Source organism: Homo sapiens, chromosome 7 (genome assembly GCF_000001405.40).
Source record: "Homo sapiens chromosome 7, GRCh38.p14 Primary Assembly".
NCBI classification, from domain to species: Eukaryota; Metazoa; Chordata; class Mammalia; order Primates; family Hominidae; genus Homo; species Homo sapiens.
In genome coordinates this window covers 111756727-111770527 of record NC_000007.14, presented here as the reverse complement: position 1 = coordinate 111770527, position 13801 = coordinate 111756727, and the positions used below count along the sequence as shown (strand labels likewise).

General features: G+C 40.0%; 1 protein-coding gene and 2 long non-coding RNA genes across 16 annotated transcripts in view, besides 1 other annotated feature; 1 reads left to right on the top strand and 2 right to left on the bottom strand.

The window, feature by feature from the left end:
- Positions 1 to 13801, top strand: part of DOCK4 (dedicator of cytokinesis 4) — a 480290-nt gene that overhangs the window by 435872 nt on the left and 30617 nt on the right. For all 14 annotated transcript variants that reach the window (XM_047421081.1, NM_014705.4, XM_006716189.3 and 11 more), the window contains 5 exons: positions 851 to 999; positions 3410 to 3496; positions 5306 to 5410; positions 10206 to 10347; positions 11738 to 11904. In XM_047421081.1, the coding sequence (XP_047277037.1) occupies positions 851 to 999; positions 3410 to 3496; positions 5306 to 5410; positions 10206 to 10347; positions 11738 to 11904 (650 nt within the window). The remainder of the gene's footprint in view (positions 1 to 850; positions 1000 to 3409; positions 3497 to 5305; positions 5411 to 10205; positions 10348 to 11737; positions 11905 to 13801) is intronic.
- Positions 3654 to 11784, bottom strand: LOC124901726 (uncharacterized). Its single transcript, XR_007060478.1, has 2 exons — positions 11532 to 11784; positions 3654 to 4473 (listed from the first exon to the last, which is right to left on the bottom strand). It is a non-coding gene; the product is annotated as an uncharacterized LOC124901726 (long non-coding RNA).
- Positions 11411 to 12610: an enhancer, noted in NCBI's record as "BRD4-independent group 4 enhancer chr7:111397974-111399173 (GRCh37/hg19 assembly coordinates)". NCBI's record gives its function as "activates an origin of replication core promoter dependent on BRD2, P300/CBP, MED14 and CDK7 cofactors, and independent of BRD4, by STARR-seq in HCT116 cells {active_cell/tissue: HCT116}" and the evidence as "EXISTENCE:reporter gene assay evidence [ECO:0000049][PMID:35650434]".
- Positions 12266 to 13554, bottom strand: LOC124901727 (uncharacterized). The gene is made up of 2 exons (XR_007060479.1): positions 13516 to 13554; positions 12266 to 13280 (listed from the first exon to the last, which is right to left on the bottom strand). It is a non-coding gene; the product is annotated as an uncharacterized LOC124901727 (long non-coding RNA).

The window sequence follows — 13801 nt, the reverse complement described above, 5'->3', positions numbered from 1 at the left end:
AACCATACTTAAATCCATAGGTCACCTTTTCCACTTATGTGTATATGGAAAATCACCCCTTGTTTCTGCAGGAAATCCAACCATGCCAAGCATGTAATGATATCAGTATTCTTTACAGAAGATTTGTGGGGCCATCTGGGGCAAGGCAGTCATATCACACAGCCTGCAACGGTTCTTTCTCTCTCACACACACAAATACACCCACACACCCACACACTCCCCCCACTCCTCATGCAGCACTTCCACCCTCTCCAATCCCTACCCTGTTATTAGATTTTTTCTTTTTCTTTTTTTTTTTTTTTTTGGTCTTCACTCAGCTCCTCTCTGGCTTCTTTGCCCCTTGTAAATTCTGCCTCCACTCTGAACCCCCTCCTCACCAGTTTCGATTTTTCAGCCCTTTATTATCCCAAAGAATTTGCCATTTTTTATTTCCTAAGCCTGCCCTTTGGGGGATGCTCATAGTCCCCAAGGAACTTACTAGTGAACTCTCTCAGCAAACAAAGGCCTGTCTCCCCACATCTTTGAACCAGCAACAGCATGATATCCTTACACATTTTGATTATACTGTAGCATACAGACATTTTAGGGAAGACAAAAACAAAAGACAAAAACAGAAACGAAAATACAGGAAACAAAAGATGAAATACAGATCTGATTAGTCCAAGTCCATCATCCAGGGGAAGTCCTCGTTCATTACCCTACTGCTGCATATATTCTGGATATTTTTCTGCTATATCACGAAATTTAGAAAATAGTATTTTTTTTCCCCAGTTTGTCGGAAACTGGCCACATTTGAGGGAATGTGGCTTGGGGTCCTGTCTCAATCATTGTCTTCTCACGTGACTTGCAGAAGCTGCATATACCCTCCTCTTATATGACGAGCTACTGGAATGGTCTGATCGGCCCCTCAGGGAGTTCCTGACCTACCCCATGCAAACAGAATGGCAGCGCAAAGAGCACCTGCACCTCACCATCATCCAGAACTTTGACAGAGGCAAAGTAAGTGGCCCTGCCCCGCCCGGGGTCCCTCCTGGGGTGATGGTGTTGATGTCCCTTTCCCTTTCATTTCTAGTTTATGAATGCCCACCTCCTTAAGCAGGGATCCTCACATCTTAATGTATATTAGAAACACCCAAAAGCTTGTTAAAATGCAGATTCCTAGGTGCCACTCCTAGCCATTCTGATTCATTTTGATTCTGAATGAGCCATTCTGATTCGTGCCTTGTCTGGCATGAGGCTGGGGAATCTGTGATTTTAACAAGGACCCTAGGAGAGTCCAATGTGCATGACCTTTTCATTACACTTTGATAAACACCGATTTAGAGATTTTGATCCCCAGTAACATAGTCCATTCGTGGCGGCTTTAGCAAAATACCCTAGACTGGGTAGCTTATAAACAACAGAAATTTATTTTTCACATTTCTGAAGGCTGAGAAGTTCAAGATCAAGGCCCTGGCAGATACAGTGTCTGGTGAGGGCCATCTTGCTGTATCTTCACATGGTGAAAGGGGCTGGCTAACTCTCTGGGGCCTCTTTTATAAGGGCACTAATGCCATTCGTGAGGGCTCTACCCTCATGACCTAATCACTTCCAAAGACCCCATTTCCTAATACCATTACCCTGGGGGTTAGGATTTCAACATATGAATTTGTCAGAGACCCAAACATGCAGACCATAGCACGCAGATATTGTATTCTCTGAAAAACCATTATCATCCTTCACACTCTCCCGAAATTGGCATGCATTCTGCTCCATTATACTTTAAGGTAAAATATATGAAACTTAATTTGTTTAAAGAATTTTGTGGCATCCCATCATATACTTAAGAGATGCCTTGAGGTGTTGAAAAAACCTCACTGACTTCATAAAGCAATTCAGTACATCACCTCCCTCCACTTCCTACCCCTCTTCAAGGGCTTGTAGTACTCTTTTAAAAAATTCATGAATCTGACCGCCATTGTTTATTGGATTTGAACACTTGGATGCTTTGGTGGTACATGTCTTAGACTCAAATTTATCTTCCAGATTGCAAAGGTTAAACAGAAAATTAAAATACAACCAATGGCTGTAATTCTTTTACAAAATATAATTGGGTACACGTAAAAATTTGATGCAAGGAAGTTGCTTCTTCCACATCTTCCTTTATTATTTATCTAGGTACACTGACATATCATTACATGAATACCAAAAGAAATGTTTTTGTGCCCTCCTGCTGTAAAGTTTCCACCTGTGGGATAAAGTGGTGCAAACTCTCTGAATTCATTTATTGGTCCATCCCCGGGAGTCTGTGCTAGATCAGGGGTTGCAAACTATGGTCCACAGGTCAAATGGCTCACTGTCTGTTTCTGTACAGCCCCAAAGCTACAAATCTCTTTTACGTTTTTAAATGGTTGAAAGAAATCAAAGGAATCATAACATTTTGGGACATGTGAAAATGATATGAAATGCACATTTTAGTGTCCCTAAATTCTTATTGGAACACAGCCATGCTTAATTGTGTCTATGGCTGCTTTGGTGCTATAACAGCAGAATTGAGTACAGCAGAGTTGTGACAAAAACTAAATGGTCCTCAAAGACTAAAGTTTTGACTTTCTGGCCCTTTGCAGAAAATGTTTGCTGACACCTATACTAGATTAAAGAATTTTTACATTTCTGCTGAGAGTAACCAACTTGGTTAGACCTCTCACAATTTGCAAGCACAACTAAGCCAAGCAAGGAATCCAGGGTACCAGTCACAGATAATTGGGCCTTAGGGGTCAGTGGTAATTCTCTCCTCTGCACTGAGGGCCTGTTTATATCCATCTACTCGGCCATTGTGGAACTGTAGTCATTTCAAGATGATTCTGGAATGACACCAGAAAATATAGTTCATGTACAATATATTAATGACTGTTGTGGTAGATTATCGTTTCCAGCATTCAAAGGATTTTTAATAATTTACATTTCAATTACATGGTGTTTTCAAGCTTGAAGTCTCAAGGTGTTTTATAAAGATTAAGAAGTGGACGGGCGCGGTGGCTCATGCCTGTAACCCCAGCACTTTGGGAGGCCGAGGCGGGTGGATCATGGGGTCAGGAGATCAAGACCATTCTGGCCAACATGGTGAAACCCCATCTCTACTAAAAATACAAGAATTAGCTGGGTGTGGTGGTGCGTGCCTGTAATCCCAGCTACTCAGGAGGCTGAAGCAGGAGAATCGCTTGAACTAGGGAGGCGGAGGTTGCAGTGAGCCAAGATGAGGCCACTGCGCTCCAGCCTGGTGACAGAGTGAGACTCCATCTCAAAAAAAAAAAAAAAAAAGATTAAGGAGTAAGGCTTGGTGCTCTGAAAGCACTCATGTTCTGACTTTTGGGTAGAAGTAAGTGGATATTGTCAGATGGTTCCATTGATCTCATTCATTTGTCCACAGTGTTGGGAGAATGGCATTATCTTGTGCCGGAAGATTGCAGAGCAGTATGAGAGTTATTATGACTACAGAAACCTGAGCAAGATGCGGGTAAGGTGCCTGGATGCATCCTGATCAGGCCATAGCCTCCCTTTGTGATTAGCTTTCCAGTGTGGTTCTATGAAATTAACTTTGTGGTCTTGCAGAAACCCTTTTTAAGATAAATCCTCTGAAGCATACTTAGCTATTTATATAGAGAAATAGCAAATTGATTTGTGTAATGCTTTTATTTAATATAAAAAAGTGAGCACTTGATCTGTTTTAAATACCACATATGAAATATACAATCTAATCCAGGATTAACACTTTTAGTTTATTGTGGAAAATCTCCACCCTGTTTGAAGAGTTTCCACTTACACATAAGTTTCTGTAACAATATACCATTCTTAGTCCCATAATCTGCAAATCTGTAGGAATGGCTGACCTATTTCTAAATAATTTAGGGCCAAATTCTGTAGGTGTCACCTCTCTTTAGCTTCAGCAATGTGTTTTTATTTGCTGGACTTAGATCAACGTTTCAGTACCTAAGAGCTCAAGGAGTTGAGTATTCTGTTTCTCTGAACCAAATGTTTTATATCTGCTTTGCTCTTAGGTTCAAACAAGTCCTCCTTGCCCTCCAAGTCCTTACTCTTGAGCAACATGAACGTTTGTGTCATCTTGTAATACACAAGATCCTGCTGAGTGCTTCAGTTCTTCAGGGTTTCTAAAATAGGATCATCAGTTTTTATACATTAAAAAAAAGAGTACAATATTGCCTTTTAATTTTGAGGTAGCCATTTAAGAGATAATACCATAAACCTGTAACAGCTCATAAAATCCCTTATATCCCAACAAGGAATTTATTCAACTGGCAGGAACTGACTCTGTCCTTTTGGCACAGTATTTCATGTCAGCAGTTCATCGATACTTCTCCTAACATGAAAACGAAAGAGAAAAAGCTTGTTTTAACTTCAGTCCATCATGTTGACTCTGGCAGGCACTGCAGTTTTATATGAAAACATTGCTGTTCATCTCTTGGCATCCTGTCCCTGTAACAGAAGCGAGGTGATGATGTTTACTTGTGAGAGCCCTTGGGTGCCATAGTCACTAAGATTTTTATAAACCCAAAGCATTACACTTCATGCCAACTGCTCTTTGGGGTGCTGTTACTAGAGGGGGGATAGAGGGGGAATCTTTAAGTGTAATATTAGTCTTTCTCTGGAAACCCTGGGGATGATAATACCATGAATGGGAAACCATAAGCTTTATATGCTTCATAGTTTCAACATTGTCAGGCGCACTTAAGAGCTTTCAGCCCAGACAGCACTTTGCACTATGGGTCTCCTTTGGTTTGGTTTGTTGTTTTATCCTTGCCCAACCTGTGCAAGATTGCACCTTCCAAATGTCCTGAATTACCATGTGCCAGGTGGAGGCAAACCCACAGGTAAGTACATCTGGCACAAGAATTCTCTAGAAAAGTTTTGCCTCTAATAATTCATGTTAATTTCTACTTGATTGTGAAGAAAATATTTTTCTTGATAGGACTACATGCATAGAAATAATTTTTCTCTGGGGATAACATGTGATAATACACTTGATCCTTTAAAGCAGGGATCAGCAAACTACAGCCTGTGGGCCTAGCAGAATTAAGTAGTTGTGAAGAGACGATATGGCCTGCAAAATGTGAAATAGTCTCTGGACATTTATAGAGGAAATTTGCCAATCCCCGACTTAAAGCATCAAAAAGAAAGTCAAACTTTCTTTCCAGCAAACTCAATTAAAATAAAGTTCTCCTTTATGTAAAAAAGAAATCTTATTCTATAAATTTGATAGAACCGAAAGATGAGATAAAATGCTTAGAATGTTTCCTGTGCTTTCTAGATGATGGAAGCCTCTTTGTATGACAAAATTATGGACCAGCAACGTCTTGAACCAGAGTTCTTCAGAGTTGGATTTTATGGAAAAAAATTTCCATTTTTCTTAAGAGTAAGTAATATACTATTTAATTTGCTTTCACAGCTCTCATATAGATATCCCAATCAAGAAAACTAAGATGTTAATGACATTTTATATGACAGGTAATAATATGCATGAGACTTTTTTTAAACTTTTACTTTGCAGACACTATATTAATCTAGAATGCCTTGTTTAAATAATTTCCGAGATAGCAATCAACCCCTTCCTAAATTTGGTATATTTTGTGAGCAATCTTTGATAATTATAGTTTCCCTTGTCTGATACCCACTATTTTAATTCAGTCTGCAATTTCCATCAAGTTAGTATTAGAAAAAAAATGGTGGGGCACTGCAGGAGGCTTGGAGTTGCAGAGTATCGAAAGCAATGCAGTTTCACATCATGTGAAAACCCTACCTCCAGCACCATGTAAAGAGTGTTGTTTGGCCATTTTGATGAATTTGTAAAAAGATAAATGTCACCCAGCAAAGAGACCCAATTTATTGCTAGTATAAACTCCATTTCTACAAAGAGAAAACTTTTAGACATTCTAAGACACCTATAAGATAATAAAATATTCAACTCCATTCTTTTCATTTTTCACATTCTGCCCAGTAGTGTCTTCTATGCTTGAATATTTATTGAATACTTCAGTATATACACCTTCCTTGTACAAAAACATTGCTTAAAAGAGCAAATGTAATTCCCCAAGCAACTAAGGAAAGGTATCTGGGATAGTTTATAAAATTGAATCAATTGTTACAACTTTAGTTCTCAATACAGAAATATTTTGATGTTTGTGTTTACCTAAATCTTGCCTGTCAGCACATATGACAGAATACTAGGATGGGTGTACTTGGAGAAGAAGAGAAAGATTTCACTTTATTGTTTAATAATCATTATCTGCCTTTCAGAATGAAAAAGACAGATAGGTAGATCCCAAAATATCCAATACAGGTTCATTTTAGTATCACGTGGAACAGATGTTTTCTTTAGTCAGTTGAAATGACCATGCATTTGGGTGCTACACAGACATAATGTGAAATCTCCTTGTTGCATTAAAAGAGACTCCACACAGTGTAGTGGGCGGTCACAAAGCTGACTTTGCAGGTGGGCCTGCCTAAAACTGGAGGAAATCTTGATTCCTGATCAAAAACAGCAGCAAGTGGGCACAGTGGCACACTGTAATCCCAAAAACTTGGGAGGCTGAGATAGGAGTATCACTTGAGCACAGTTCCAGACCACTCTGGACAACAGAGCAAGACCCCCAGAAAATGAAAATTAAAAAATGGCAAAGTCAGAATACATGTTGAATTTAAAAGACTACGTTTTGGAGGTGTAGCTGATCCCAAGCTGTTATGAGCAACCCCCTAAGGACTGCAGATGGCCTGGATCCAGGTTCTGAGCAGAGCAGCAGACAGTCTAGAGCTATAGCCACACAGATGGCTGGGGATTGCGCAGCAGGGTCTAGACACGACCCTGCCACAGTAGGTCGTCTCCCTCTGTTGGCACAAACAGACATGACATTGTTGGCAGAGTCATGTCTGAAAGATTATAATTAAAAGTATAAAGTTTTAAAAAATTAGAAGTAGTTTAAGAGTCATAATTTTAAAGAGAGTTTAGCAAATTGGAAAACTGCATTAGCAAATAGAATAAATTTTGTTAAAAAGTCAATTAGAATAAATCAATCTTCTATATCATTCTTCTTTTAAAAATAGCTTTCCTGGGTATAAATGGCATTTGCTTCACAATGAAAGAGAAGGGTCCCCCTCTGTTGGTTTCTAAAGGGCACTACACTCTTCAGAATCCTGGAGCCTGACCTTTTTTTTAAGGAATCAGATTCTAGTCTGGTCTTGGATTTAAAAGCAAACAAATATCAACATTAAAAACATCCTTTTGGCCAGGCACAGTGGCTCACACCTGTAATCCCAGCACTTTGGGAGGCCAAGGCAAGAGAATTGCTTGAGGCCAGAAGTCTTTTGTTGTTTGATCAATTTCCAAGATAATTTTTAGCACTCAAATACATTTATCCACTTTTATGATCTAAGTAGGGATTTTTCCCCTCATGAAAAACGGGTTATTTAGCTGGGCACGGTAGCTCATGCCTGTAATTGCAGCACTTTGGGAGGCCAAGGCCAGAGGATCACTTGAGCCCAGGAGTTCAAGACCAGCCTGGGCAACATAGTGAGACCCCATCTCTACTAAAAGTTAAAAAAAATTGCCAGGTTCGGTGGCGTGCGCCTGTGGTTCCAGTTTCTTAGGAGGCTGAGGCAGGAGGATTGCTTGAGCTCAGGAGTCAAAGCTTCAGTAAGCTGTGATTGAGCCACTGCACTCCAGCCTGGGTGACAGTGAGACCCTGTCTCCAAAAAAAAAAAAAAAAAAAAAAAAGAAAACAAAACAAAATGGGTTATTTAAAGAATATTAACGCAGAAGTTCTACTTCTATATACATGCTTAAGAAAATTGAAAATATATATTTACACAAATACTTGTATCTGAATCGTCATAGCAGCATTATTCATAATAGCCAAAATGTAGAAACTGCCCAAATATCTATTAACTGATGAATGGGTAAACAAAACACAGCATATCTATGCAATGATACTCAGCAATAAAAAGAAAGGAAATACTTATATGTGCTACAAAATGGATGAACTTTAAAAATACTATGTTAAGTAAAAGCTAGTCACAAAAGGCCAGCACATTGTATAATTCCATAATAGGCAAATCCATAGAAACAAAAAGTAGTATTGTGACTGGCTGGAGGAAGAGAAAAATAGGAAGTAACTGCTAATGAGTATAGGGTTTCTTTTTGACATGATGAAAAGATTCTGAAATTAAATTTTGTTAATGTTTGCACAACTCTATAAATATACTAAAAACCACTGAATTGCACATTTTTAAAAGGTGGATTTTATTGTATGTGAATTATATCTCAATAAATCTATGTGTTTTTTTAGAAAAAAAAAGAGTACTGATAAGGAAGATGCTTTATTTCTTAGAGACCCAAATATCAGACCCAAAATTTCATTTTATTTTAAAATGGCTTCTTAATACCATTGAATGCCTGTATTCTTAGAGCAAATGCCCCGATTTTTACAAACTGTCATATATAAGCATTGTTTGTTTTAAAATATATTTCATTTACTAGGATATTCAAATATTTATTTGGGGGCTCCTGTAATAGGCAGAGAGGGATGTATTGTGTTTTATTTTACCAAGCAAATTAATTATCTTTTGAGTAGAATTTTTAAAATACAGCATCAGAAATTGTAACTTTTATCTATAAAGTTTTAAATCTAGAATTGTATGGGGTCCACAATTATAGGTAGAGCCTGCCCTAACCTTGTGTTTTTCAAAAGATCATGATATATTTAGGGGTTTGTGGGGAACCGAGGTAGGTTATCCAGCCCAGTTCCTGCTGTATTTCCTCTACCTGCCTGCAGCTGCCCTTTCCCTGCGGAAGAACTGAGCCTCTGCCCATGACTTGTTTCTCACTCCCTCTCTGTGGCCTGGAGTCCCTCTTTACGGCGTTTTACATAAGAACCTCATAGAGCGGAAAAACAGAGAAAACCTTGGACCTCAGCTCCTCTAGGCCCCAAACTGATCTCCCCTTAACTTGAAGATCTCCAGGGCCTGAGATCCCACAAGTTTTCCTGGTCTTGGTAGCTCCTAGGTGTTTTTCCTGCATACACTAGGCCATGTTCAGAGTAGAAAGAGCCCAGGGTTTGGACTCAGACCAGAATTTCAATCTAGTACACGTGGACAAAGTATTTCAAGACATTAAGCCATGGCCAGGCGTGGTGGCTCACACCTGTAATCCCAGCACTATGGGAGGCCGAGACAGGCAGATCACCTGAGGCCAGGAGTTCAAGGCCAGCCTGGCCAACACAGTGAAACCCCATCTCTACTAAAAATATAAAAATTAGCTGGGCATGGTAGTGCACACCTGTCATTCTAGCTACTTGGGAGGCTGAAGCAGAAGAATTGCTTGAAGTGGGAGACGGAGGTTGCAGTAAGCTGAGATCATACCACTGCATGCCAGCCAGGGCAACAGAGTGAGACTCCATCTTAAAAAAAAAAAAAAAAGACTTTAAGCCCTGGTTCCCCAATTATAAAATGGGGTGTTGTAGGGGGCACTGACTACCTCTCAAGCTTATATGAGTTAAATAAGACATGCAGTGTGCTTCATCAATGACTGTGCTCAATTACAACTTCATTATCATTAAAATGTCAGAGATCCGTCATATCTAATCAGATCATTCAGGTACTTTTTGGAAACCTTCCCATCTTTCCAGCTGTCTTAACCTACCTCAGAAATAACCTTCACCATTCTTAACTGAAGGAGAGCATCATGAACGGCAGAATACACACACACACACACACACACACACACACACACACACACACACAAAAAGCAGACAACAAATTTACTTTTCCTCCAAATTGTGAAATTACCCACATGAATTTGATATGTACTTTATAAAAATAATCTTTACACATGTGCTTATTAACATTTAGAGGGATACAATTGTTTTGTTTTCATACTTTGGTGCTCTGAGAATCCACCTCTTTGCACCTCATGCAAGTGAACCGGGAAGAGTGAGGCATTCTATTGGGCCTTATTAAATGCAGTAGAGAGTGAACTCATGATCTTTATCTGCATTTTTAACAATTGGGCAAACTTTTCAGATTGTTCCAGCGTAATTTTTGTTATAGTGTCTTGGTATGGGGCATGTGGTCAGTTACTGCCAGTGTCATGTTTTTTGGCTCTGTCTGTAATCCACTCAGTTATATAGCCCTAATTTCTTTTTTGCTTTCATCTCCAGAATAAGGAGTTTGTGTGTCGAGGGCATGACTACGAGAGGCTGGAAGCCTTCCAACAGAGAATGCTGAACGAGTTCCCCCATGCCATCGCCATGCAGCACGCCAACCAGCCCGATGAGACCATCTTCCAGGCAGAAGCTCAGTGTATCCGCACCTACAAGGGCTGGACTCAGTGAGATTGCACTGGCTCTTAGCTGCAGAGCATTTCCATGCAAGGTTGTTCAGCCACCAGTCCCTTTTCAATAGCCACATCGTTACTGCTCCCTCTTTCCCATCATCTTAATTTTAGCTTAACTCCTTCTGAATAGAACTTAATTGTTCTATTTATTACGATGATGTCAGTTGAAAGAACTCTCTTGAAAGAATTTTTCCCTTTTAATTAAACCTCTTGTATAGCTCAACCCTGCCTTTAAAGCTCTTTTTTAGTGACATCCTTTAGAATAAACTTCCTTTGACATATCCTGTGGAAACTGCTTAAGTTCAAGAAAATCATAGTATTGTGTTTACTGGCACATATTATTCACCCCTCCCCCCACCCTGATTATTTGTATTCTGGAATGAGGAATGGAAGAGAAAGAGCTACTCCAGTATCTTTTGGGGGCTTTTAGCTATGGCATCCTGAACAGCCTTTAATCATTGCTGTATAATTCATGCTCTTATTGTCTAAACACAAACAACTGAGCTGAAATTATATAGGTGTTAGAGACAAAGGCAGTTCACCCCAGCACTCTTTTCTGAACCCCTCTGCCTTTTCCTGAAACTGATGGTCTTAAAAAACACTTTTAAAACTTCCACTGACAATTATGAATACCATTTCAAAGCAGAAACCAAAATGCAAGACATGCAAGAAAGTACATAGGAAAAATATTTTGCTATCTTTCTTTAAATAAGAAGAGAAGGAGGTAAATATACAAGTTAATATGATACTCCTTTAATGTAATTTTTAAAAATATAAACTATAACTAAACACCCTGCATATGAATACAAGATTTGGGACAGCAGTTATCACAGATGTGGGAAGGCTAGGGACACAGATAATCACACAGATAAATGTAAGTCATCGTCAGTGTTCTAGTTTCTGTCTTTGGTCATGGTTGCATAGGTATTTACATGTTATTATAAGCAAACAATAAATTTAAATGTGTCATGCACAGACTAATAGATGTCTCATGAACAAGGATTAGGATTATCCTAATTCTGAGTATCTAAGGCCCAAACCATTCCCATCTACCTACACACACATACACACACACAAGTTAGTGATATCTAAATTCATAGGTCATGAAAATTTTCAAGTCATGGAAATTTCAAGCTGATACTTCACCTACCTAGAACTAGTTCAAGACCTGTAGTTTGAGAAGTGATTTGCTAGAACTGAGTTCCTGGCGTCTTCTTGGTAATTTTTTTAATGACTTCAACTGAAATGGAAACAGAAGATTGTTACCCATCCTCTTCTCTCTGCCATAGCTCAGCCCAAGCCAGACTTCCATGGAGTTTGCCAAGTCAGGTTCTCTCCTTGACTCTTGAATCCTAGATTTGCAGATATATGCTGTGACTCCCATTCCAGAGAGCCAGGAGGTCCTGCAGAGAGAGGGTGTTCCGGACAACATCAAAAGCTTCTATAAAGTGAATCACATCTGGAAATTCCGCTATGACCGACCATTTCACAAAGGCACAAAAGATAAAGAGAATGAATTCAAGGTACCATGCAATTCTTATTACATGCTAACTCCTCAGATAGACTGCGAGCCCCTTGGGGCACAGCCCTTGGTAAATATTTACTCAGAATAGTGTCAAGTGACAGAAACAGAAGGGACTATATAAATCATTTAGTCTAGTGGTTCTGCAGCTCCACGTGCATCAGAGTGACATGGAGTGCTCCCTAACCAAGCAGATTTCTGGTGCCCAGCTCAGGAATTCTGACTCAGTTGGTCTGGGAGGAGGTCCTAAAATCAGCTTTTTTGTAACAATTCTAATGCTGGTGGTTCTTAGACCAGTCTTTGAGAACTCCTGGCTGAAGTCAGTCCTCTTATTCATTTATGTTGAACCAATTGTGGGAATCTTGGGATGTTTATTTTCACGTAAAGTTCAATGAATAAAGAATACATAATGAACAGAGAAAAGGAGTTCCTGAAGACAGAGAACAGTTGGGTAGACTGCTGGTACGTTGGGTAAGTTATGTGCCATCTTTGCTGCTTGTTCTTGTTAGAACAGTGTGTAATTAGAACTTCTCAGGACTCCGAGTAAAAGCAAATTTTGGATTCTTTGTGTGTGTTGAGTTCTCTGCTCTCAGTAGTTCCAACACGCCTTCCTACTTCAGCACCCTCAGCCAGAATGGGACAAGGTTTCTCATAGCCCCACTGCAGAAAAGAGGCAAGATTGTTCAGTAGAGTCTGCCCCTTTCTTTGCAAACAATGACATAGTGACACCCCCCCCAGTTAGTATTTCATATCTAAACAAAGAATGCAAAATTAGCTTATTTTTGTGAGTTAATTGGCTTAGCATTTTTCATCACAGATGTTCCCTGCTTAAGCTAGGAAATGTGCTCCTAACACGATTGTCTCATGTTAACTCACTTGGTCAGCTCTGCCGGTGTCAGTTCCCAGTACTCCCCGAAGTATTTCCAGGGATCATTCACAACCGAGAGGAGATCAGAAGGGGAAGGTTTTGCAGAGTTATGACAGGATTGAATAAAGAGCAGTCCCTTGTGCCCAGAGATTTGATGGGCTAAATATCAAGGCAAGGAGGCCACTGGAAAACAACAATGGGATAGTATTAAAAAGATCCATGATCATGTTCTTGTTTTTTCTGGAAACTTATTCTTTGTGCCTTCCAAAATCAATTAAAGAAGATATAGCTAGTTGATGATATAGTTCTTCTTGCAGTTGCTTTTAGTGAAATCATAGTCAGAAATCACTGAAATCAGGCAATTGACTTGTTCAAAGTCACCTTCTAGTTACCGGTAGCTCCAGTCCTAGAACTCACATTTTCTGCCTCCTTCTCCATTGTTTTTTCCACCGTACTACATTTCGTTGTGGCTGTCACTTTAAATCTGTATCAGTGGCGCAGCAATCTCCCTAAAAAATAATAATAATAAATCTGGCTCCTGATTCCTCTGCTTTATAGCCCTCAGAATCTGGCTCCAAACTGCCCTCCAGAAGCCTCATCTCCACCACAACCCACTCACCCCTCCTCCCTCTCAGCCTCCGCGACACTCAGCTTCTCTCTTCCTCTCCCGCCAAGCCCTTTCGCAAGCCGCTCCTCCTGCCAGCGCTGCTACCCCCACTCTCCTCCTGGCAAACTCCTACTCACTCCTCAGAATGCAGCTCACGCGTCACCCCCTCTGAGAACTGCTGTCCTCCTCCCGCAGGCTGGCGTGTGTGCCTGCATCCCCCTCTGTTGGCCCCCAAAGCCTTGAACATCCCTTTCTCTTCACTCTGAGCTCTTATTCATCTGCTTACCTCCCTGTCACCACCAGAACACTGCGAGCTCTTGTCACAAGATCTCTGCCCTATTCATCTCAGCACAGCTTGGCTGGCTCAAAGAAACTCTTCCATTTTTTTTTTTGTTGTGGTTTGAGTAAATGGCACTATTTCAG